The 22,683-nt window shown below is 45.6% G+C and overlaps 1 protein-coding gene across 1 annotated transcript in view, besides 13 other annotated features; it reads left to right on the plus strand.

The window, feature by feature from the left end:
• ABL1 (ABL proto-oncogene 1, non-receptor tyrosine kinase) overlaps window positions 1–22,683 on the plus strand; it is a 174,633-nt gene that overhangs the window by 31,468 nt on the left and 120,482 nt on the right. The window lies entirely within an intron of this gene.
• Window positions 1–22,683: part of a biological region, named in NCBI's record as "ABL breakpoint recombination region", that runs on past both edges of the window. NCBI's record gives its function as "recombination_partner: LOC107963947 | LOC107963948 | LOC107963951 | LOC107963955 | LOC107966121 | LOC107966125".
• Window positions 1–22,683: part of a mitotic recombination region, noted in NCBI's record as "ABL minor-breakpoint recombination sub-region recombines with the BCR-ABL minor-breakpoint cluster region, producing the e1a2 transcript", that runs on past both edges of the window. NCBI's record gives the evidence for it as "EXISTENCE:nucleotide sequencing assay evidence [ECO:0000219][PMID:20703256]".
• Window positions 1–22,683: part of a mitotic recombination region, noted in NCBI's record as "ABL major-breakpoint recombination CML sub-region recombines with the BCR-ABL major-breakpoint cluster CML sub-region within the BCR-ABL major-breakpoint cluster region, producing the e13a2 and e14a2 transcripts", that runs on past both edges of the window. NCBI's record gives the evidence for it as "EXISTENCE:nucleotide sequencing assay evidence [ECO:0000219][PMID:20703256]".
• Window positions 1–22,683: part of a mitotic recombination region, noted in NCBI's record as "ABL major-breakpoint cluster ALL sub-region recombines with the BCR-ABL major-breakpoint cluster ALL sub-region within the BCR-ABL major-breakpoint cluster region, producing the e13a2 and e14a2 transcripts", that runs on past both edges of the window. NCBI's record gives the evidence for it as "EXISTENCE:nucleotide sequencing assay evidence [ECO:0000219][PMID:20703256]".
• Window positions 15,331–15,512: a silencer, noted in NCBI's record as "fragment chr9:133635228-133635409 (GRCh37/hg19 assembly coordinates)". NCBI's record gives its function as "represses an EF-1alpha promoter that drives an FKBP-Casp9 reporter gene in an ReSE screen in K562 erythroleukemia cells {active_cell/tissue: K562}" and the evidence as "EXISTENCE:reporter gene assay evidence [ECO:0000049][PMID:32094911]".
• Window positions 19,047–22,683: part of a meiotic recombination region, noted in NCBI's record as "this region was identified as a recombination hotspot within the HapMap CEU population", that runs on past the window's edge. NCBI's record gives the evidence for it as "EXISTENCE:nucleotide sequencing assay evidence [ECO:0000219][PMID:20981099]".
• Window positions 19,180–22,683: part of a meiotic recombination region, noted in NCBI's record as "this region was identified as a recombination hotspot within the HapMap YRI population", that runs on past the window's edge. NCBI's record gives the evidence for it as "EXISTENCE:nucleotide sequencing assay evidence [ECO:0000219][PMID:20981099]".
• Window positions 20,392–21,709: a meiotic recombination region, noted in NCBI's record as "meiotic double-strand break mapped by DNA meiotic recombinase 1 chromatin immunoprecipitation followed by single-stranded DNA enrichment and sequencing in the germ cells of some male individuals with the PRDM9 A/A genotype". NCBI's record gives the evidence for it as "EXISTENCE:chromatin immunoprecipitation-seq evidence [ECO:0000229][PMID:25395542]".
• Window positions 21,050–21,099: a silencer, noted in NCBI's record as "silent region_20406". NCBI's record gives its function as "represses an Ori minimal core promoter by ATAC-STARR-seq in GM12878 lymphoblastoid cells {active_cell/tissue: GM12878}" and the evidence as "EXISTENCE:reporter gene assay evidence [ECO:0000049][PMID:35858748]".
• Window positions 21,914–22,083: an enhancer, noted in NCBI's record as "active region_29158". NCBI's record gives its function as "activates an Ori minimal core promoter by ATAC-STARR-seq in GM12878 lymphoblastoid cells {active_cell/tissue: GM12878}" and the evidence as "EXISTENCE:reporter gene assay evidence [ECO:0000049][PMID:35858748]".
• Window positions 22,114–22,173: an enhancer, noted in NCBI's record as "active region_29159". NCBI's record gives its function as "activates an Ori minimal core promoter by ATAC-STARR-seq in GM12878 lymphoblastoid cells {active_cell/tissue: GM12878}" and the evidence as "EXISTENCE:reporter gene assay evidence [ECO:0000049][PMID:35858748]".
• Window positions 22,384–22,443: an enhancer, noted in NCBI's record as "active region_29160". NCBI's record gives its function as "activates an Ori minimal core promoter by ATAC-STARR-seq in GM12878 lymphoblastoid cells {active_cell/tissue: GM12878}" and the evidence as "EXISTENCE:reporter gene assay evidence [ECO:0000049][PMID:35858748]".
• Window positions 22,454–22,503: an enhancer, noted in NCBI's record as "active region_29161". NCBI's record gives its function as "activates an Ori minimal core promoter by ATAC-STARR-seq in GM12878 lymphoblastoid cells {active_cell/tissue: GM12878}" and the evidence as "EXISTENCE:reporter gene assay evidence [ECO:0000049][PMID:35858748]".

Below are 22,683 nucleotides of genomic sequence, written 5' to 3' on the forward strand. Positions count from 1 at the left end.
TAGTTTGCTTTTATAAGCCAGAATTTGTTCTACACATAGAAGGATAAAACTGTCTTTTCTGGCCAGGCGCAGTGGCTCACGCCTGTAATCCCAGCATTTTGGGGGGCCGAGGCAGGCGGATCACGAGGTCAGGAGATCGAGACCATCCTGGCTAATGTGATGAAATGCCATCTCTACTAAAAATACAAAAAAAAAAATTAGCCGAGCGTAGTGGTGGGCGCCTGTAGTTCCAGCTACTGGGGAGGCTGAGGCAGGAGAATGGCGTGAACCCAGGAGGCGGAGCTTGCAGTGAGCCAAGATCGCACCACTGCACTCCAGCCTGGGCGACAGAGTGAGACTCCGTCTCAAAAAAAAAAAAAAAAACAAAACTATCTTTTCTCTCTGGTTTCTTTGCTGTTCCTTTTCAGGAGAGAAATTACAATAGGATTGGTGGCCTAATGATGTAAGTGCCAAAGTTTCATTCGAGGTTTTGGGGTAGAATGTTTTTCAACTGTTTGCTTTTATCTGAGACAAAGTGGGCAAGGAATAAAGGTAGAGTGGTGAGAAGGGTGTTATCCCTTCCTGGGAACCTTTTTTTTTTTTTTTTTGAGGGGGGCAGAGTTTTGCTCTTGTTGCCCAGGCTGGAGGGCAATGGTGTGATCTCGGCTTACTGCAACCTCCACCTCCTGGGTTCAAGCGATTCTCCTGCTTCAGCCTCCCTAGTAGCTGGGATTACAGGCATGCGCCGCCACACCTGGCTAATTTTGTATTTTTAGTAGAGACAGGATTTCTCCATGTTGGTCAAGCTAGTCTTGAACTCCCGACCTCAGGTGATCTGCCTGCCTTAGCCTCCCAAAGTGCTGGGATTACAGGCGTGAGTCACTGTGCCCAGCCCTGGGAACCTTTTAATTGTCAACTGTGTAGGTGTTCATGCTGGCCTGCATAATAGAGCGCCTGCTGTTTGATTTTCAGTTTTCTGTAGAAGGAAAAAAAAAAATCAAACCAACAATAGCAAAACTCATGATACCTCCTGGTCTCTCTCTCCCTCTCCTCTGCTTGCATATTCTGGTCTATAACAGGAAATGGAACCTCCTGGAGTGAGGGGAAAATGACCTTCACATTTAGGTTTCTCACTCTAAAGTTATTTCTTAAATATTTTAGCCTGAGTTCTTTTAATAACAGACCTCAGCTCTAGTTCTTTGAAATGCATGTGGGAAAATGTTTATCAGTGTTGAAATCTGACATTTTTTTAATCTCATGAACTCCACAATTGTCTGATTATTAAAGTCCTGCTTACTTGACTGTGACTAAAATTCTACTTTCAGAAGAGTAGAATGTACCCCTACCAAATTGAAGATCAAATAAATAAAGTGGACCTGGAAAAGTAAGGCTTGCCATTGTGTGTCAAACCAGCCCTTCCCAGCTGTGGGCTTTGTACTTAACGGACTCAGAACGTGAATGGAAGTACAGACTCTGGAACATGTAGGAGCTGTTATCCCTTGCCAGTTTCATGCTTCACTGTCCATCTCCTGGCCAAATAGAGAGACAAGGGTGACATTAAAATCATGGGTTTATCTGAATTCAAATCTCAGCTGCTCACTTACTAACAGTATGACCGCAGACACCAGCAAAACGTCCCACTGCTGCTTATTTCCAAGCCTTTCCAAGGTCTTCTGGTCAGGGCAGATTCTTCTTTCTTGTTCCTAAATTTAAAGTTTCAAGAATTTAATGCGTTTTTTTTTTTTTAATGAATTTAATGCCTTTTGGGGGGTAGGTTTTCCTAATTTAACTTTATTTTTTTAAATTTTATTTTTAAATTAGTGAACAGTAAAATTGACTTTTTCAATGTATGGTTTTATGAATTTTAAGACATTTATAGATTTGTATAACTACCATCGCCACCACAGGACATAAAATATTTCCATAATCCCAATAACTTTCTTCGTGCTATTCTGCTCTCCTGCCTCCTGGCAACCACTGATCTGTTCTCATCACTATTGTTTTGTCCTTTTGAGACTGTCACAGAAATGGAAGCATCTAGTATGTAACCTTTTGAGATTGGCTTCTTTCACTGAGCGTAATGCCTTTGAGATCCATCTAAATGTTGCATGTGACAACAGTTTGTTCCTTTTCATTGCTGAGTAGTATTCCATTGTATGAATATGGCACAGTTTGCTTATTCATTCATCTGTTGAGGATGTGTTTGGGTTGTTGCTTGGTGGGGCATTGGTGATTACGAATAGAGTTTTAAGCATTTCTGTACTGTTTTTATATGAACATAATTTTTTAATTCACTTAGCATATACTCTTCCTCTGTCTGCTGTAATAAGGTACCACAAAACTGGGTGGCTTAAAACAACAGAAAATTATTCTTCCACTGTTCTGGAGGCCAGAAATCTGAAATTAGTATCACTGGGCCAAAATCAGGGGGACAGCAGGGCCTTGCTTCCTCCAGAGACTCCAGGAGAGAAATACTTCCTGGCCTCTCTGGCTTCTGGAGGCCACCTGCATTGCTTGGTTTGTGACCCCTTGTATCACTCTGACCCCTTGTTCCATTGTTTTATTTCCTGTTTTGTAATCAAGTCTCCCTCAGGCTGGGCACCCCTGAGGGAGCATGGCTCATGCCTGTAATCCCAGCACTTTGGGAAGCCGAGGAGGGCAGATTGCTTGAGCTCAGGAGTTTGAGACCAGCCTGGGCAACATGGTGAAACCTTGTCTCTACAAAAAATATTTTTAAAATTAGTTGGGCATGGTGGCATGCACCTGTAGTCCCAGCTACATGGGAGGTTGAGGTGGGAGGATCACTTAAGCCTGGGAGGTGGCGGTTGCAGTGAGCCAAGATTGCACCACTGTGCTCCATCCTGAGCAAGAGTAAGACCCTGTCTCAAAAAACCAAAACAAAATCAAGTCTCCCTCAGTCTTCCTCTTTTTTTGTTTGCGTGGGGACAGAGTGTTGCTCTGTCGCCCAGGCTGGAGTGCAGTGGCACAACCTCAGCTCACTGCAACCTCTGCCTCCTGGGTTCAAGTGATTCTCCTGCCTCAGTCTCCCAAGTAGCTGAGATTACAAGCATGCGCCACAACACCCTGCTAATTTTTGTATTTTTGTAGAGACATGGTTTCACCATGTTAGCCAGGCTGGTCTCGAACTCCTGACCTCAGGTAATCCGCCCACCTCAGCCTCCCAAAGTGCTGGGATTACAGGCATGAGCCACTGTACCCAGCCCCAGTCTTCCTCTTATAGGGACACTTGTGATTACATTTATGCCCACTAGGATGACGGAGGATAATGCCCCCATCTCAAGATTGTTAATCACATCTCCAAAGACCCTTTTCTCCCATATAGGGTACATTCATAGGTTCCAGTAATTAGGACTGGCATATCTTTTGGAGGCCCATTTTTTAGCCTACTACACTTGGCTAAAGACCTAGGAATGGGTCACTAGGTCATATGGTTAGTATGTGTTTAATTTCATGAGAAATTGCCAAACTGTTTTACAGAGTGGCAGTCATTTCACGTTCCTACCAGCACCCTTGAACGCCAGAATTCCTGGTATCCTCGGCTGAACTGGCTATTGTCGGTATTTTTAATTTTAGCCATTCTAGTGAGTATCTCATCATGGTTTTGCTTTTCCCTGACAGCTAATGAGGTGGATTGAGCATCTTTTTGTGTGAAAACCTCATATCTTTTAATTTTCCTCCTATAACCTGCATAAGTATGAGGAAGAAAAGTGTGAACTGAATCATAACTAAAGGAAAGAAGAACATTGCTGTCTTAAGCAGATCACGCCTTTGTCGTTATACAGTATGGTACAATAATCCATTACACATCTCTTTGATTCATCTTGTCTGTTAAATTTCTTTATAAAATTTGTTTAGTTGATGACACACCTGACTCTAATATAAGAGTTGAATGTTGTATCACTTTTTTTTTTCCTTTTTCTGAGACAGAGTCTCCCTCTGTCACCCAAGCTGGAGTGCAGTGGTTCCATCTTGGCTTACTGCAGTCTCCACCTCCTGGGCTCAAGTGATCCTCCCACCTCATCCTCCTCAATAGCTGGGACTACAGGCGTGAGCCACCATGCCTAGCTACTTTTTTTTTTTTTTGAGACGGAGTCTTGCTCTGTCGCCCACACTGGAGTGCAGTGGCGTGATCTTGGCTCACTGCAACCTTCGCCTCCCGGGTTCAAGCAGTTCTTCTACCTCAGCCTCCCAAGTAGCTGGGATTACAGGCATGCGCCACTGCTGCCCGGCTAATTTTTGTATTTTTAGTGGAGACGGGGTTTCGCCATGTTGGCCAGGCTGGTCTCGAACTCCTGACCTCATGTGATCCACCTGCCTTGGCTTCCCAAAGTCTTGGGATTGCAGGCGTGAGCCACTGCGCTTGGCCTCTATATAAGCTTTTAATGAATAATAAAGACTCTAAATTATGCTTATTTACTACCAAATAATCTTTTTAAATGAAAAATTTGTTATCCCTCCCAGCCCTCAGCCATGACCCGAAGTATGAAATAGGCATATCTTTTTGCTGCTATTAGGCTGTAGTTCATACTGGTTTAGTATTGCTGTTGATCACTTTTAGGGACATTTAATGATATTTTATACTAGATCTTGAGCACCAGCTATTTATTTTCTCTTGAAGCAGTGGTTTATAGTAATACATTGTGCTCAGTTCTTTTTTGGTTCTTTGTCAAGTTCAACACAGTAGCTTCTGTTGATTGAGTTCTTGTAGTTATGAGGGGAAATTAATGCTGGTGACCAGTATTTGAGAATTAAAAACCTCTGTTCAGAAAGGCAATGCAGAGTAGAATAATGAACGGATACTATAAATGACATATCTTGACACTGGGGGTTTAGTATAAATAAACAGTATTTCAATCTCTGGAAATTGTAAAGCCCGTTATTTAACCTAAAAACGTTAATGGCTCAGAAAACAGAATTACATGGCATTTCCTTGCTAACCTCCCAGAGCCTATCCCCTCCAAAGATGATAGGGCTAAAGCCTGGTCCACTAAGTTGTTGTCAGTCGTACGGGCTTTAGAGTATGTTGACTTGATCAAACATTTACTGTTTACAAATATTTGCTTCTAGCTCATATCCTGACACTTAAAGCCACGTGATCTTGTAGAAGTCACTTAGCTGATGAGGTAAAACTGAGTCTGTTTCTCCATCTGTTGAATGAGGCTGGTGATAGACTCTTTCTTTGCTCTCTCCCAGGTGGGTAGGAGATCAGGATGAGCTGATGTCTGTGAAAGAACTTTGGATACTATAAAGTGCTTTAGGAATGTATGGGGTTATTATTTTATGAAATTGTTGATTCGTCTTCATAATTTGAGATACAAGATCTCCATTCCATTGCTAATGCTTATGGAAGATTTTGTCACTTTCTTAAAAAATATTGCCAAGGCCGGGCACAGTGGCTCACACCTATAATCCCAGCACTTTGGGAGGCTGAGGCGGGAGGATCACTTGAGCCCAGGAGTTTGAGACCAGCCTGGGCAACATGGCAAGACTCCATCTCTACAAAAATTGAAAAAAAAATAAATTATCCAGGTGTGGTGGTGCACGCCTGTGTTCCCAGCTACTTGGGAGGTTAAAGAGGAAAGATCACTTCAGCCCAGGAGGTTGAGGCTGCATTGAGCCATGATTGTGCCACGGCACTCCAGCCTGGACAACAGAGACCCTGACTCAAGAAAAAAAAAATACATATATATATATATATATATATATATATATATATATATATATATCCAAGTATAAGTATATACTTAGAGGTGGGCTGGTAAAGGCTTTTTCATTATGGATTTTTCAGTTTATTTCTTCTAAGTTTTGTCAGTTGAACAGTAGGGATAAATTAAAGAGGAGGAAAAAAAATCCCCATCATCCTTCCTTCCCTCCTTCCCTCCTTCCCTTCCTCCCTCCCTCCCTCCCTCCCTCCCTCCCTCCCTCCCTCCCTCCCTCCTTTCCTCACTCCCTTTCTTTTTTGACAGAGTCTCACTGTGTTGCCCAGGCTAGAGTGCAGTGGCGTGATCTTGGCTTACTGCAACCTCCCCATCCTGGGTTCAAATGATTCTCAGGCCTTGGCCTCCTGAATAGCTGGGATTACAGACATGAGCACCTGACCTAACATGGTTCTTTTTCTTTTTTCTTTTTCTTTCTTTTTTTTTTTTTTTTTTTTGAGACAGAGTCTCACTCTGTTGCCCAGGCTGGAGTGCAATGGCACAATCTCGGCTCACTGCAACCTCTGCCTCCTGGGTTCAAGTGATTCTTCTGCCTCAGCCTCCCGAGTAGCTGGGATTACAGGTGCTCGCCACCATGCCTGGCTAATTTTTATATTTTTATTAGACACAGGGTTTCACCATGTTAGTCAGGCTGGTCTCGAACTCCTGACCTCAGGTGATCTGCCCCTCAGCCTCCCAAAGTGCTGGGATTCCAGGTGTGAGCCACCACGCCCGGCCTACATGGCTCTTTTTCTATTCAGCTTTTTTGGTAGGATTGAGGTAGTTGTAGAGGAGTGTTGATAGGATAGTGAAGAAATTTTAACCTTTGCTAAAAACATGCAAGACAGTGTCATAATGTTTAAGAATACATAAATGTTATCATTTTGTACATGTCCTTTTGAAACTTGTTTTTTTTATTCAGCTTTTTTTTTTTTTTTTTTTTTTTTTTTTTTGAGATGGAGTCTCACTCTGTTGCCCAGGCTGGAGTACAGTGGCGCGATCTCGGCTCACTGCAACCTCTGCCTCCCCGGTTCAAGTGATTCTTCTGCCTCAACCTCCCGAGTAGCTGGGACTACAGGCACGTGCCACGACACCCAGCTAAATTTTTGTATTTTTAGTAGAGACAGCATCTCACCATGCTGGCCAGGCTAGTCTTGAACTCCTGACCTCAGGTGATCCACCTGCCTTGGCCTCCCAAAGTGCTGGGATTACAGGCATGAACCACCGCGCCTGGCCAAACCTACTATTTTTAATGGGAAGGGGTTTATTATAGATATTATATAGCTAACAGTTATGGGGAGGGCTGAAAAAGCAGGTTCTTGGTTGGGCTTCATGAGTGATTCCCAGATGGAACGGCCTCATAGACCTGGGCCACTGAGGAAGCTGCAGCCTCTTCAGGAATTGGGAAGGTGTCAGCTGTAGAATCTGCCACAATCAAAGCCTTACTGCTCCTGGCTCCAGAGCCAGGTATGGTCAGCCAGCAAAATTGATATCCTGCACTCTGCTCCTCAACACCCATGAAGCCAGTGCCTGGACACAGGACTGCTCGTCCTGCCTCAGAAAACCAAATGCTTTCCAGCCGGGCTTGCCCACAGCAACGGCAGAAGCAACAGATGTGTGCTGGGCCTCCCATCTGCTTTCCAAATCTCATGTAATTGTATCCAACTTGCAGACCCTAAATCACATTTAAACTGTAGGTGCAGGGGAGGTGGTGATGTGTCTGTTAGATTTTCAGCCTCCGCACTATTAGAAAAGAAGGGACCCTGGAAGGAGGATGGAATGGCTATGGATTATCCATCCACCATATTCGCTCCAAATTCTTAACCTGATATGAAGATGTATGGGTATAATGTAGGGATGCTTTGGACCCTGTAATTTTATGCACACTTGGGAATGTGCACCAGAACATTTTTCTTTCATTAGATTCTCAAAGGGGACGATGACCCGACAGAGGCTAAGCACCATTAACCAGATAAGTTAAGTGATGAAGTGCCCAGATTCTGAAGGCAGGCAGGCCTAGATGTGAATCCTGTCTCTGCTTCATAGCTGTTGTGAGATCTTGGGCATGTTATTTCACTTCTGTAACCCTTAACTTTCTCATCTTTAAGATAGGGTTCTGAGGATACTTTTATGGAGGTTTCATGGTACCAGCATCCTACTGGGAACTGTAACTCCTGCTGCCTACCAAATATCTATAATATCTTTGGCTTGGCACTCAAGGTCTTCTCTGAAGTAGCCCAAACATGCTTTCTTGCCCTACTGCAGGGTTGCTATGAGGGTGAAGTATAGAATGCCTCTATGGTGAATGCCTGGTATAGTGCCTGGCCCCAAAAAGCAACCAATAAGTAGTCTTCTCTTCCCAAAGCTAGTCACTGCATGTATGTATGTATTCATTCATTCCTCAGAAGAACATGGCCAACATGAAAATTAGGGTGTGCTGCTGCCATCTCTGTTAAGAATACCCCTTGGTGGCTGGGTGCAGTGGCTCATTCCTGTAATCCCAGCACTTTGGGAGGCTGAGGCGGACAGATCACTGGAGGCCAGGAGTTTGAGACCAGCCATGGCCAACATATGAAACCCCGTCCCTACTAAAAATACAAAAAATAGCTGAACGTGGTGGCGAACACCTGTAATCCCAGCTACTAGGGAGGCTGAGACTGGAGAATCACTTGAACCCGCGAGGCGGAGGTTGCAGTGAGCCAAGATCGCGCCATTGCACTCCAGCCTGGGTTACAAAGCGAGACTTCGTCTCAAAAAAAAAAAAAAAGGGCTGGGCGCAGTGGCTCACGCCTGTAGTCCCAGCACTTTGGGAGGCTGAGGCGGGTGGATCACGAGGTCAGGAGATCGAGACCATCCTGGCTAACACGGTGAAACCCCGTCTCTACCAAAAATACAAAAAAATTAGCTGGGCATGGTGGCTGGCACCTGTAGTCCCAGCTACTCGGGAGGCTGAGGCAGGAGAATGGCGTGAACCCGGGAGGCAGAGCTTGCAGTGAGCCAAGATCGCGCCACTGCACTCCAGCCTGGGCGACAGAGCGGACTCCATCTCAAAAAAAAAGAACACCCTTGGTAGCTCCTACTTGTGCTGCAGAGGTGAACTTGGCTATCACTTCCTCTGTTCCCACTGCATGCTGTGCTATTGCTGTGCTGTTTATCACAGTGGTGTTTACTGTCTTATACTTGCCTCTCTCTCATCTCTTCTTTTTTTTTCTTTTCTTTTTTTTTTTTTTTTTTTTTGAGATGGAGTCTCACTCTGTTGCTCAGGCTGGAGTGCAGTGGTGCAATCTTGGCTCACTGCAACCTCTGTCTCCTAGGTTCAAGCAATTCTCCTGCCTCAGCCTCCCGAGTAGCTGGGATTACAGGCATGTGCCACCACAACCGGCCAATTTTTGTATTTTTAGTAGAGACGGGTTTTTACCATGTTGGCCAGGCTGGTCTCGAATTCCTGACCTCAAGTTATCCACCCACTTCAGCCTCCCAGAGTGCTGGGATTACAGGCGTGAGCCACCATGCCAGGCCTCATCTCCTCTTAAATGTCTTTAGAGCAAAGATTGTGTCATAACCCCGGCACCTAGTATCATGCCTATTACATAGTAGATTTTCAATAAATGTTAAATGCATGAATGAATAATGAGTAAAGAAACTGGGTAATGTTTTTAGCTTGGAGGAGAGAAGCCTAAGGGAAGATGTGTTTGCTGTTTTGAAAATATTTATTGTCGCTGGGCGCGGTGGCTCACGCCTGTAATCCCAGCACTTTGGGAGGCTGAGGCGGGTGTATCACCTGGGTCAGGAGTTCGAGACCAGTCTGGCCAACATGGTGAAACCCCGTCTCTACTAAAATATAAAAAAAATTAGCTGGGGGTAGTGGCGTTGCCTATAATCTCAGCTACTTGGGAGGCTGAGGCAGGAGAATCGCTTGAACCCAGGAGGCGGAGGTTGCAGTGAGCCAAGATTGCACCACTGCACTCCAGTCTGGGCAACAAGAGTGGGACTCTGTCTCAGAAAAAAAAAAAAAAGAGAGACCAGGCGTGGTGGCTCACGCCTGTAATCCCAGCACTTTGGGAGGCCGAGGCGGGTGGATTACGAGGTCAGGAGATCGAGACCATCCTGGCTAACATGGTGAAACCCCGTCTCTACTAAAAATACAAAAAATTAGCCAGGCGTGGTGGCGGGCACCTGTAGTCCCAGCTACTCGGGAGGCTGAGGCAGGAGAATGGCGTGAACCTGGGAGGCGGAGCTTGCAGTGAGCCGAGATCGTGCCACTGCACTCCAGCCTGGGCGACAGAGCGAGACTCCGTCTCAAAAAAAAAAAAAAAAAAAAAAATTTACTATCATGTAAAGGGGAGTTGGTCTCACCCTACACTGCTTTGGAAGGCACAATTAGGAGCTGCGGATGGAAGTCACAAAATAAGGCACATTTGGACTCAGTATGAAAAGAGCTTTCAGATAATGAGAGCAATCAAGTAATGGGGGGGGCTTGGAAGCCAGTGATTATTGGTCATTGGAGGTATTAAAGGAGAGGCAAGATAGGAAGATATAGATGGGGTTTGAATACCGTGCGGGGCTTCTCAGCACTCTTCCTTTTCTGAGTGCTTTTAACAAGCGGACTAGGGAATAGATAGGGCCTCTGCTCTCAGGGAGATTATTGTCTGCTCAGGGAGAGAAGATATATTCAGGTGGGAAAGGGCAAAGGGTGTTAGGAATGGCTTGGCTAGGATAGTCAGAGGAGTACGTGGAGTAAGGCAGGAAAGCATGTTTGGGCTTCCTCAAAGATGACCTTGAGTACCAAGCCAAAGATTTTGGAGATATTTGGTGGACATTGGGCATTATACATACCCAGTAAGATATTAGCACCATGAAAGCTCCACAAAAGTGTCCTGAGCGCCTAGAACAGTACTTGGCACATGGTAGATCTTCAATAAATAGTTGTTGAAGGAATTTGTTAAAATATCAGAGCTATGATTTAAGAAAATTATTCTGTAATCTGAATTTAGGTTGGGAGTGGAAAGGAGTACCCTTAAGTAGGACATGAGAAGAGCCTGAAGAAAGGCAGAGGACACCAGTAGGCATCTTGGATGTGGGATTGGTCAGAGGGGAGAGAGGTAAAAATGATTCCATGACTGTGAGTCTGGCGACTAGAAATGGGGGTGACATTCACAGAGTAGGGTGGTTCCCTGTAGTTCCTCCTTGTGCAGAAGGTGAGGCTTTGCTTGTCGACCTGCTTCAGTAGTAGCATTGACAGAACAGTCTCTGTGTACTCTGTCCCCTCAGTGCTTTCTGCATATGTGTTGCTCACTCATCACTATCTGCATGTTCGTGGTCTCTGGAAAGAATCAACTATAATGATCAGAATAATTGCCTGGTAGGACGTATTTCCTTTGAGTTCAGCAAGACGTGCCCCCTCACATGGTGTTCCTGTTCATTCATAAGGCTGTAATAATGTATGAGTTAGGAGACCCTTTTGACCAATTCCCCTCTGTTTTCCATCTTGGAAAAACCAGAACTCTGTTTTCTTGAGCAAATGACGTTGCCACCAGCCCTGAAGCTCCTTTTCCTGGGTTTGTAGGGGTTGGTGGAATCCTGGCAGTCTGCCGCTCTTCCTGGCCTCCAGAGATCAGGGCTGTGACTTTCCATCTGCAGATGGCAGTTCTAGCTGCGAGGTTGGTGGCCGAGGAGGACGAGGACACAGCTCAGGGCCTGTCCTTCAAGGGCTTCCGTGTGCAGCAGCAGCACTCTGTAATATCATAGATGAATTTTTGTCAAAACACAGAGAAAAGTTGATTACACTTCTCATTTATTAAAAAAAAATGACTTGATAGCATAGTAGATGGCCCCTTATGTAAGCCACTTAGTATTATTTCAAAGGAAGCATGTCTGTGAGAAAAGGGGCAACCACTTTTCTCATAGAGAAGAACAGGTTTTTAAATGAAAAGATCAACAAATCCAAATGCTGTGGTATTTATACTGATTTAGAAAGGCAGTTGACTTTGGGAGGCTTTGTTTTCTCATTTCCCTTTTCTCCTTGACATTTGACAGACGTGGTTAGCAGAGAGCTTTCTCATTCGGTTTTCCTGGAGAGAGCTCTGCCTCTTGGGCTTCCTGCATTTGTATGGAAGTTTTAATTTTTTTTTTTTTTGTCAAATGAAAGGTTGCCATTTCATTTGTTCAGATTTCCCACACACTGTTGCAGCAATCTTTAGATTTCAAATTGGCTAATTCAGTGGGTCACTTAATTCTTAACTTTTACAACATTTTGAGTCTAAATACAGCAAAATTGGTGCCTTTTTCAGCTATTTTTCGGCGTTGCTATATTCCAAGCCACTGAGCTCTGTTTTACTCTGACATTTTCTCTTCACTTTTGGGATTCTGCTCACTGTGTTTAAGGCAGCTCGATAGCATTTTGCCAAAAAAGAGAAGTTAGGGCTAGTGTGAGTTGAGGGGAAGGGGATGTTTCTGTTGTTGCTCCTTGCTGAGTATCTTCAGATATCTAAAAGAAACTTGTAACACAGCGTCAGCCTGACACTGGCCTTTGCAGCATCAGCCTTGGTTGACTGTGTTCTAATAGGGATGCCTGATCTGTATCCTCTTTAACTTGGCTATAAGAAGGTTTTGGAGAATGTATGTCTGAGGGTGTTTTAAAAGAAAATGGAAACAAAGCTCCTTTTTGCCTTGAGCTCATGGTTTGGAATTTGGGCATTTGGAATCCTTCAAGCCCTCCTCCTGGGCAGAGCTGGAGTCCCCTTAGGGCACTGCCTGTCATCTTCACTACACAGCTGTGCTCCAGAGCAGGGAGCCGATGGAAAGGGGGACCCAGAACATTCCATTCTGCAGAATTCCCTTCCAGCCGTCTGTGAGAAGGCAGTTTGGGACCCTTTTAGAAGTTTGCTTTATAAGTGAAGAACCTGAGGCCGGCTGTGTTCATATTCTCAGAACTTGGTGAGAATGAGGTACTTTAAGATAGGCTCTAAGATCAGCAGCATCAGCCCACTCGGGAAGAGCTCCTCTGACTCCTGGAGGAGAAAGCCAGATGGGGGAAGCATTAAGTCCTGTTTTCCTATTGAAAACTGAAATTGGCCAGCCACAGTGGCTCATGTCTGTAATCCCAGCCCTTTGGGAGGCCAAGGTGGGAGGATTGTTTGAGCCTAGGAGTTCAAGACCAGCCTGAGCAACACGATGAAACCTGGTCCCTGTAAAAAATACAAAAATTAGCTGGGGCATGGTAGCGCATGCTTGTAGTCCCAGCTACTAGGGAGGCTGAGGTGGGAGGACCGCTTGGGCCTGGGAAGCAGAGGTTGCAGTGAACTAAGGTTGAACCACTGTACTCCAGGCCTTTTTTTTTTTTTTTTTTTTGAGACAGAGTCTTGCTCTGTCACCCAGGCTGGAGTGTAGTGGTGCGATCTCAGCTCACTGCAACCTCCGCCTCCTGGGTTCAAGTGATTCTTCTGCCTCAGCCTCCCGAGTAGCTGGGACTACAGGCACCCACCACCACGCCCGGCTAATTTTTTTTGTATTTTGTTATAGAGATGGGGTTTCACTGTGTTAGCCAGGCTAGTCTCGATCTCCTGACCTTGTGATTTACCCGCCTCGGCCTCCCAAAGTGCTGGGATTACAGGCATGAGCCACTGCGCCCGGCCAGGCATTTTTTTTATGTGTGTCTCAAATAAAAAGAAAGAAAACCAAAATTTTACCTGAAAGACGAGAAAGTTGATGAAGATTTTGAGAAAGTGAGGAAGCAATGGCCCCTCCAGGGCACACCCAGGTGCTGTCCCTTCTTTTCTCCTCAGTTCTCTTAGCTATAAAATGGGGCTTATAATAATCCCTTCCTTGAAGAGATGTTGTTAATAGTACTTAGATGATTTGCTAACTTATATCAAGCACTTACTCTGACCCAGGTATCGGACTGGGTGCTTGACATATATTATCTCTATTGTGTTTTGCAGAGTGGCTAAGATTTTTTTTTTTTTTCTTTTTTGAGACAGAGTCTCGCTCTGTCACCCAAGTTGGAGTGCAGTGGTGCGATCTTGGCTCACTGCAACCTCCACCTCCTGGGTTCAAGCCATTTTCCTGCCTCAGCCTCCCGAGTAGCTGGGATTACAGGCGTGTACTACCACGTCTGGCTAATTTTTGTATTTCAGTAGAGATGGGGTTTCACCGTGTTGGCCAGGCTGCTCTCGGAACTCCTGACTCCGGTGATCCACCCGCCTTGGCCTCCCAAAGTGCTGGGATTACAGGCATGAGCCACCAGAGACGGAGTCTCACTCTGTTGCTCAGGCTGGAATGCAGTGGCGCAGTCTCGACTCACTGTAACCTCCGCCTCCTGGGTTCAAGCAATTCTCCTGCCTCAGCCTCCCAAGTAGCTGAGATTACAGGCGTGCGCCACCAAGCCCAGATAATTTTCATATTTTTAGTAGAGACGGGGTTTTGCCATGTTGGCCAGGCTGGTCTTGAACTCATGACCTCAAGTGATCCATCCACCTCGGCCTCCCAAAGTGCTGGGATTACAGGTGTGAGCCACCGCATCCGGCCCCAATTTATTCAACTTTGGAAGCGTTGGTTGTGAGATGTGCAGTTGGGTGTTGTCATGGAGAAGAATTGGGCCCTTCCTGTTGACCAGTGCCGGCTGCAGGCATTGCAGTTTTCGGTGCATCTCATCGATTTGCTGAGCATACTTCTCAGATGTGATGGTTTCGCCGGGATTCAGAAGGCTGTAGTGGATCACACAGGCAGCAGACCACCAAGCTGTGACCATGACCTTTTTTTGGTGCTAGTTTGGCTTTGGGAAGTGCTTTGGAACCTCTTTCGGTCCGAACACTGAGCTGGTCATTGCTGTTTGTCGTATAAAATCCACTTTTTGTCGCACATCACAATCTGATCAAGAAATGGTTTGTTGTTGCGTAGAGGAAGAGAAGACGACACTTAAACATGATTTTTTAAAAATTTTTGCTGATGTGGGACCCGCTTAACTTCCCAATTTGCTTCAAATGCCAAATGATCATAGAATGGTCAACATTGAGTTTTTCAGCAACTTCTTTTATGGTTGTAAGAGGATCAGCTTCTGTGATTGATCTCCCAACTGGTCGTTGTCAACTTCTGATGGCCGGTCATTGCACTCCTCATCTTCAAGGCTCTCGTCTCCTTTGTAAAACTTCTTGAACCACCACTGCACTGTACGTTTCATTAGCAGCTCCTTGGCCAAATGCGTTGTTGATGTTGCGAGTTGTCTCCAGTGCTTTACAATCCATTTTGACCTTGAATAAGAAAATTGCTCGAATTTGCTTTTTGTCTAACATCATTTTCACAGTCTAAAGTAAACATAAACAGCAAGGAATAAGTCATTAGCAAAAAAATGTAAAGTGAGAAATGCCCATTAAAATAATGTATAACATAACCACATTTATTTAAGAATGTACTCGAATATCAAATGACAAATTCCAACAGTGTAAAAACTGTGATTCCTTTTGCACCAACCTCATACTAGCCAGGCATCTTTCTACTGAAACTGGCTGGAGACCATGTCTCAGTGGTGGAGCCGGTATAGGAGGCTTCACATTTCTTCCCCTAGGACACGCTGTCATTGTTTAGGTTTCTTGTTTTGTTTTTTCCTGAAACAGGGTCTCACTCTGTTGCTCAGGCTGGAGTGCAGTGGCACAGTTACAGCTCACTGCAGCTCTAACCTCTTAGGCTCAAGTGATTGTCCCATCTCAGCCTCTCAACTAGCTGGGACTACGTGCTTGTGCCACACATTTAGGTAATTTAATTTTTTTTTTTTTTTTTTTTTTTTTTGGAGACGGGGTCCCACTACGTTGTCCAGGCTGGCCTCTAACTCCTGGGCTTAGGCAATCCTCCCACTTCAGCCTCCTAAACTGCTGGGATTACAGGCATGAGCCACCACACCCAGCCAGTTGTTTAGTTTTAAAGATTTAACCTGGTTGAAATGTGGCTAGTCCCCTTATGCTTGGGTCACAGACCAATTTGGGTTAACTTTGCCATTGCCTTGCCTGCAGATCATGGTGCTGTTGGGATGTCATTTTGCTGTACCAAGGGTAAACAGTAGCTCCCTCCTTAACATCAGTCCTTTAGTGTAGGACTTCTCTATTAAGAGCTGGGACACTGTTGGCCATTAGGATTCCTGTTCCTTTTGGGTTTGTAATAGAAGCTACTGTCCCCCTGATCATTACTGATTGAAACAAGAAATCTGTTGTTCCTGGATTTCTTTCAGTTATCTTAACATAGACCCTTCCAAGTCTTACAGATGTCAAGGGTTTTTGAAAGTAGGATGTATTCTGATCTTTTTCAAGTGGCTACATCACTGACCCTCATAAAATAACGGAAAATATTGGGAGATGACTTTTCTGCTTAAATGTTAGGAAACTAAATTCTCAGTATACTGCTTCTCTAGTTGTTAAGGAAGAAAATTTCTCTTGTAAACTTTTTGGGAGACTAGATTTATTTCCTCCCCCACTTTTTTTTTTTTTGAAATGGAGTCTCGCTCTGTCGCCAGGCTGGAGTGCAGTGGCGCGATCTCGGCTCACTGCAACCTCCACCTCCCAGGTTCAAGAGATTCTCCTGCCTCAGCCTCCCGAGTAGCTGGGACTACAGGCACGGGCCACAACACCCAGCTAATTTTTGCATTATTTTTTGGTAGAGACGGGGTTTCACCATGTTGGCCAGGATGGTCTCAATCTCTTGACCTCGTGGTCAGCCCCCGCAAAGTGCTATTTCCTCCCCCGCCCCTGCTTTTTTTTTTTTTTTTTTTTTTGAGACGGAGTCTCGCTCTTTCGCCCAGGCTGGAGTGCAGTGGTGCAATCTCGGCTCACTGCAAGCTCCGCCTCCCAGGTTCACACCATTCTCCTGCCTCAGCCTCCCGAGTAGCTGGGACTACAGGCGCCCACCACCACGGCTGGCTACTAATATTTTGTTTTCGGTATGTTTTTGTATTTTTAGTAGAGACAGGGTTTCACTGTGTTACCCAGGATGGTCTCGATCTCCTGACCTCGTGATCCACCCGCCTTGGCCTCCCAAAGTGCTGGGATTACAGGCGTGAGCCACTGCGCCCGGCCTATTTCCTCCCCTTTTTATGACCATTCACAGCCTTTGGCATACCATTAAAATCTGATCATTGACTTCTAGGTGGGAGAATGGCATCTCTCTTTTCTCCTCATGATAAGGACTTAGTCTGTAAACCTTCCAGTCCCTCCCTACCCTGAAGCCTCCCATGGTCTTTTCTCTCTCCCTTGTGAAGGAAAGGTCCCTCTTTTAAAGCATTATTCAGACCGGAAGGAGGACAAAATCAAGACATGCTGAAAAACCCCTGTTTTAATCAACTCCCCTTTTAATTTTTTCAAAAGTCATTATTAGGCATCGAAAGCTGTTGACCTTCATCAAACAATGAGCACAGGATTTCTTTTCCGCATCACGCGTGGTGCCACTCCAGTGCTATGGTGTGATCAGAACACCCACATTAATAAGAACATTACTTCTCTGAAGTAATTTGAATCTTCATTTAGTAAGACTAACCATTTCTTCAAATTTTGTTTTTTAGTATACAGGAAAGTTACAGGTTTTTTTTCTCTTTTATTTGACAAATGAAAGTGATTTTATATTCATCACATTACAAAATAAATAAATGCTCATTATTTAATAAGAAAATTCACATCTGGGCTCAGTGGCTCACACCTGTAATCCCAGCACTTTGGGAGGCCGAGGCGGGTGGATCACCTGAGGTCGGGAGTTAGAGACCAGCCTGACGAACGTGGGGAAACCCCCGTCTCTACTAAAAATACAAAATTAGCTGGGCTTGCTGGCGCGTGCCTGTAATCCCAGCTACTTGGGAGGCTGAGGCAGGAGAATCACTTGAACCTGGGAGGCGAAGTTTGTGGGGACCCAAGATCACGCCATTGCACTTCTGCCTGGGCAACAAGAGCGAAACTCCCAGCTCAAAAAAAAAAAAAAATTCACAAGTACAGAAAGAGATGCTGAAGAAGGTAACAGTTACCTAGAACCCCACCCCCAGAGATAACCACCTTGTGGTAACATTTATTTCTCTGCCGTAGCCACTCTTGTCTGAAGGAGGGTTCATAGTAGATAGGCTGTTTTTGTTCATTTGCCTTTAAAAATATATATATTGTAAATATTCTTCTGTGCCATTGAATATAAAACATGGTAATTTTTAAATTTGTGTGGTGTGCATGTGTGTGCACTTTTGGGAAACTTGTTTATAGTGACTTTCAAACTGAGCATTTACAAAGAAATTAACAGTTGTTGGGTGTGTTGAATGTGCAGGGTTTTGCTGAACACTTTACAGGGGTGTCTGATCGAGTCCATCACTTCCTGTGGGCTTGTGCAATAGCCTCCTTACTGATACTCCTGCTTTCAGTCTTCCTCCTCTGCTAGTTATTTTTCATATGAAAACCTGAATAATCTGGCTGGGCGTGGTGGCTCACACCTGTAATCCCAGCACTTTGGGAGGCTGAGGCAGGTGGATCACAAAGTCAGGAGATCGAGACCATCCTGGCTAACACGGTGAAACCCCTTCTCTACTAAAAATACAAAAAATTGGCCGGGTGTGGTAGCGGGTGCCTGTAGTCCCAGCTACTCGGGAGGCTGAGGCAGGAGAGTGGCATGAACCCGGGAGGTGCAGCTTTCAGTGAGCCAAGATGGCGCCACTGCACTCCAGCCTGGTGACAGAGCGAGACTCCGTCTCAAAAAAAAAAAAAAAAAGAAAAGGAAACCTGAATAGTCTTTCAGGAATGCAAATGAGATCATGTTGCTCCTCTGCTTAAAACCTAATAGCTTCTCCTTCCATGTCACAAAAAAAGCCAAGCATATAACCAAGATCTGGCCTAGGTCCCAGCATCGCTTCATGTATCATTGGCCCATCTTTCTGTTTCTTCAGTATGACATTTGTTTCAGCCTCAGGGCCTTTGCACTTCTTTCTGGTTCCCCTGCCCTGGGACATTTGGATAATTGCTTTTTTTTTTTTTCATTTCAGGTTCTAGTTCAAATTGAATCCAAGTGAAGTGACCCCATAATACATGTTAATTGTGGAAAAAAATTTAAATTTAGCAAAGTAAAGAATAGAGCATGTCACTCTACCATCCACTCAACATTTTTGTGGTTTTTTTTCATTTAATTAATTCCATTTATTCATTCTCTTAACACAATGCCTACAATATGCCAGGTATATTATATTGGTGTTAGGTTGGGCTATAATATTAAAAAGGACAGTCATGGTTCTTGCCCTTGAGGTCTGTTAGATCAGGAATTCAGAAGTGGGTTAGCTGAGTGGTTCTAGCTTGTGGTCTCTCATGAGATTGTAGACAAGATTTCAGCTGGGACTTCAGAGTCATTTGAAGGCTTAACTGGGGCTGGCAGGCCTGCCTCCAAGATGGCTCACTCACAGGGCTGGCGAGCAGTGCTGGCAGTTGACAGGAGGCCACAGTTCCTTGCCACACGGACCTCTCCACATGCTTCTTGCGTGTCCTCACAACATGTCAGCAGCTTTCCCCAGAGCAAGTAATCCAAGAGATCACAAGGCAGAAGTGACATGTCTTTATAATCACAGATGCTACCCTGCTGTTCTGCAGTATCCTGTTGGTTCCCCAGTCTACCCTATTCAGTGAGGGAGGGCACTCACTCAGCAAATGTGCCGGGAATCAGTGGGGGCATTTTGGAGGCTTGCCACTCGCTGCCTGTAAAATGAGCATCATAATGGCACGTGTACCGCTACCACCCCCTGCCAGCACAAGGGGAACATGAACCTAACATAATGGGGGCAGGGAACGGGCAGAAGAGGCTTCCCAGAGGAGACACTTAGGCAGAGACTGGGCCGCTGAGTGGGCGTTTGGGAGGTGAGGGTGTTCCAGGCTGAGGGGAGGTTTGTAGGAAGGTCCTGAGTGGGAAGGCACTGCCTGCAGTAGCGCATGGCCTGGAGGAGACAGCAAGGCGGGCCAGGGTCAGAGAGGCCAGGACACACACATCACTGTGTCCTTGAGGGAGATCTTTCTTCTCTAGGAATATAGCTGAGCTTACCCCAGAAACCAGGGGAGAAAATAGGAGCCGAGTTTTCTGGAGTGCGTTTCTTCTGTGAAGTGAGGTTTGTGTGTAGGAGGCATCTGTCCAGAGCTTTTCAAGTTTTATTTCATTATTGCTGGAGGGAACTAGCTCTGGTCCTGTTGGTTGGGACTGAACTGTATTGCTGACCCTTTCCCATGTTCAAAGTTCCCGCTTCCATTGGGGGACTGTGCTTTGTGCTTCTTCTTGTAACAATGTGTTTAGCTTATTTAGCAGCATCAGATTCTCCTTCTGATATATGCATTCGATAAACCTGGACACCTGTGCAGATTTCTTTTTCGTGGTGGCACTGTGTTTTCTTTTGCTTGTTATGCGTAAGGTCAGATATGTTGTGTTTTGGGTCCCTGACACCTTGGGCTTGGATGAATAATGTCACTTAAGAGGAGGCAAGTAAAAGGCCAGGCACAGTGGCTCATGCCTGTAATCCCAGCACTTTGGGAGGCCAGGGCAGGTGGATCACGAGGTCAGGAGTTCGAGATCAGCCTGGCTAACATGGTGAAACCCTGTCTCTACTAAAAATACAAAAATTAGCTGGGCGTGGTGGCGCATGCCTGTAATCCCAGCTAATTGGGAGGCTGAGGTGGGAGAATCACTTGAACCTGGGAGGTGGAGGTTGCAGTGAGCCAAGATTGTGCCACTGTACTCCAGTCTGGGTGACAGAGCAAGACTGTCTCAAAAAAAAAAAAAAAGAGGATACAAGGGATACAAGTAGAATTTGTAGTGTGCTGATTAACCAAAGACAAGTTCCTCCACCCTTTTCTTTTTGGCCAGAGTTGATCATTTTCAGAATTCATCATTTTGTCAAGATGATTTTTTTGTTGTTAAATATGAATAATTTGCTTTCCTCTGGACTTCTAAGGCTTCCTGAAATTACATGCAAACATTTGTGCAGTCTCATGTTTGGTTATTGGTTTTTGGGTTTGCTATTTTTGGGCGAGGAGGTCCATATCCTTCATCAGCTTCTCAAGGGGTTTTTTCAGAGGTACAAGGGGAGGCTTTGGTTTGGTTATGACAGTGCTACAGCCAGCAACCCGGGGGCCACCTGGGTGCTGCTCCCCCACTTCAAAACGTGTAGCTAGCAGGATGGAAATCCTGTCTACATGGAAATCCTTGTGGTGTTGGATAGGCCATGATTCATTTCCCTAAGCCTCAAATGCTTCTATTGTTTGTAGTTTTTCTCCCAGAATCTTCATGATCCATTTTTGTACATTCTTATGGCCTTACGATAAATTCCTAGAAGTGGAATTTCTACATCAAAAGAATAGAAACTTTTAAAGGTTTTTGATACATATTGCCAGTTGCCCTTCTGGAAGGTCTACTGGGTACGTCAGTGTACCTGAGTGTTAACAGTGACGGATCAGTATTCATTTCTCTTATAAGGAAGGAAATGAAAGTCATTTGGTAACGTAGAGGCACAATTAGACCTGACAGCCTTTGTGTTTCTCTTCTGTTCTTTAGGCCCCCCAGTTCCCTTTGCTGCTTTCTTCTTTATGCCACAGATTTAATGCTTGAACACATATTGAAATTTTGGAAAGTTACTGTGAATCTAATGGGGCATAATAGGCAGGTTTTCTTAATCCTGGCAATGACCAAACTAATCACTTGTCTGTGGTGGCTTGGTGGAAAAACGGTTTGTCAGCAGAATTTGGTAAAGAAGCAGTCACAAGGACAGGGTGTTGGTCTCATATTTGAGTGCTTCCCTGAGGAAAGAAAAGATAAAGGGAAGAATTGGGTGAATTCATCAGACTGTATTTGGCAGATGGAGATGAAGTGGGTGCAGGTCATCGCCCACGACCTGTTTCCCAGGCTTGCAGAGAAACTGCTGCTCAGGAGCTTGTGACTGTGAGGGCCCCGGGCCGTGGCATGCGTTGGTGCGCTCTCAAGAATGCGGCCATGGCACTCACAGACACATACCAAGAAGCCTCGGCCCCCAGTGCCCCCGCCAGCCTGCTCAGGGGCATGCGGATGACTGGAGCCTGGAAGGCGGGTCTTGCTGGGCAGGACAGATGCCTTACTGTCAGGACAGATGCCTTACTGTAGGCCCAGGAAGAGATCCATGACCGCAGACAGACTTCTGCGTAGGGCCCTGAGGAAAGAGTGGTAAACATGCAGTGAAGGGCGGCCCCACCACTGGTGGCTTCTGACAGGGAGCTGGAGGGTGCAGGTACTGGATGTGTCTCATTGGGATACAAATGAGTGTGCCCCGTGGTTAGGAAGATGAGGAAGTGTAGGCACTTGCAGGGGCCTTTTCTTTTGACTTAGTGAGTTCCCACCAAACCTGGCCTTGTCTGTTTTTGATGCCTTAGGACTTGGGGACAAGGCCACAGCCTGTGACCCCAGCATCATCTCCCCCCAGGGCCTTGCCACCCTCTAGCTTTCATCCTTGCCTCCTCCTCTGCCCTCTCTTTCTTGTCCGATACAGTCACAAGTGCCTAGAATAAACCTCACACCACCCACTGCTCTGCTGTCAGGGCTACCACCCCGGCCCCACCCTGCCTTGCCCCGGCTCTGATCTCAAAGACTTCCCAGCCTCCTGTTGCCATCTGGGTCTGTCCTCCTCCTGCTAGCAGAGAGACCCTCCCTTAGAAACTTACATCAGATCTTTTCACTACCCAGTTTCCTGTCCCTCGATGGGTACCCATCTCAGTTAGAGTAATGTTCAGCTTCTCTCCACAGCCTGCGTGGTCTGGGCCTGGTTTCCCTCTCGAATTTCCCTCCTGTCACTCCCTTTGTTTACTGCCAGTGCTTTTTCCTCTTAGGGTTCCCTGGGCCCTGCCCTTCACTCAGCTTCTGGTGCCTGGCTCTTTCAGACCCATGCAGGCCCCAGCTCACATGACATCTTTTCGGAAAGACCTTCCCTGATGGCCCAGGCCACAGTACCCACACCAGCATCAGCTCTTTGTCCTCTTCCCCT

Source organism: Homo sapiens, chromosome 9 (genome assembly GCF_000001405.40).
Source record: "Homo sapiens chromosome 9, GRCh38.p14 Primary Assembly".
NCBI classification, from domain to species: domain Eukaryota; kingdom Metazoa; phylum Chordata; class Mammalia; order Primates; family Hominidae; genus Homo; species Homo sapiens.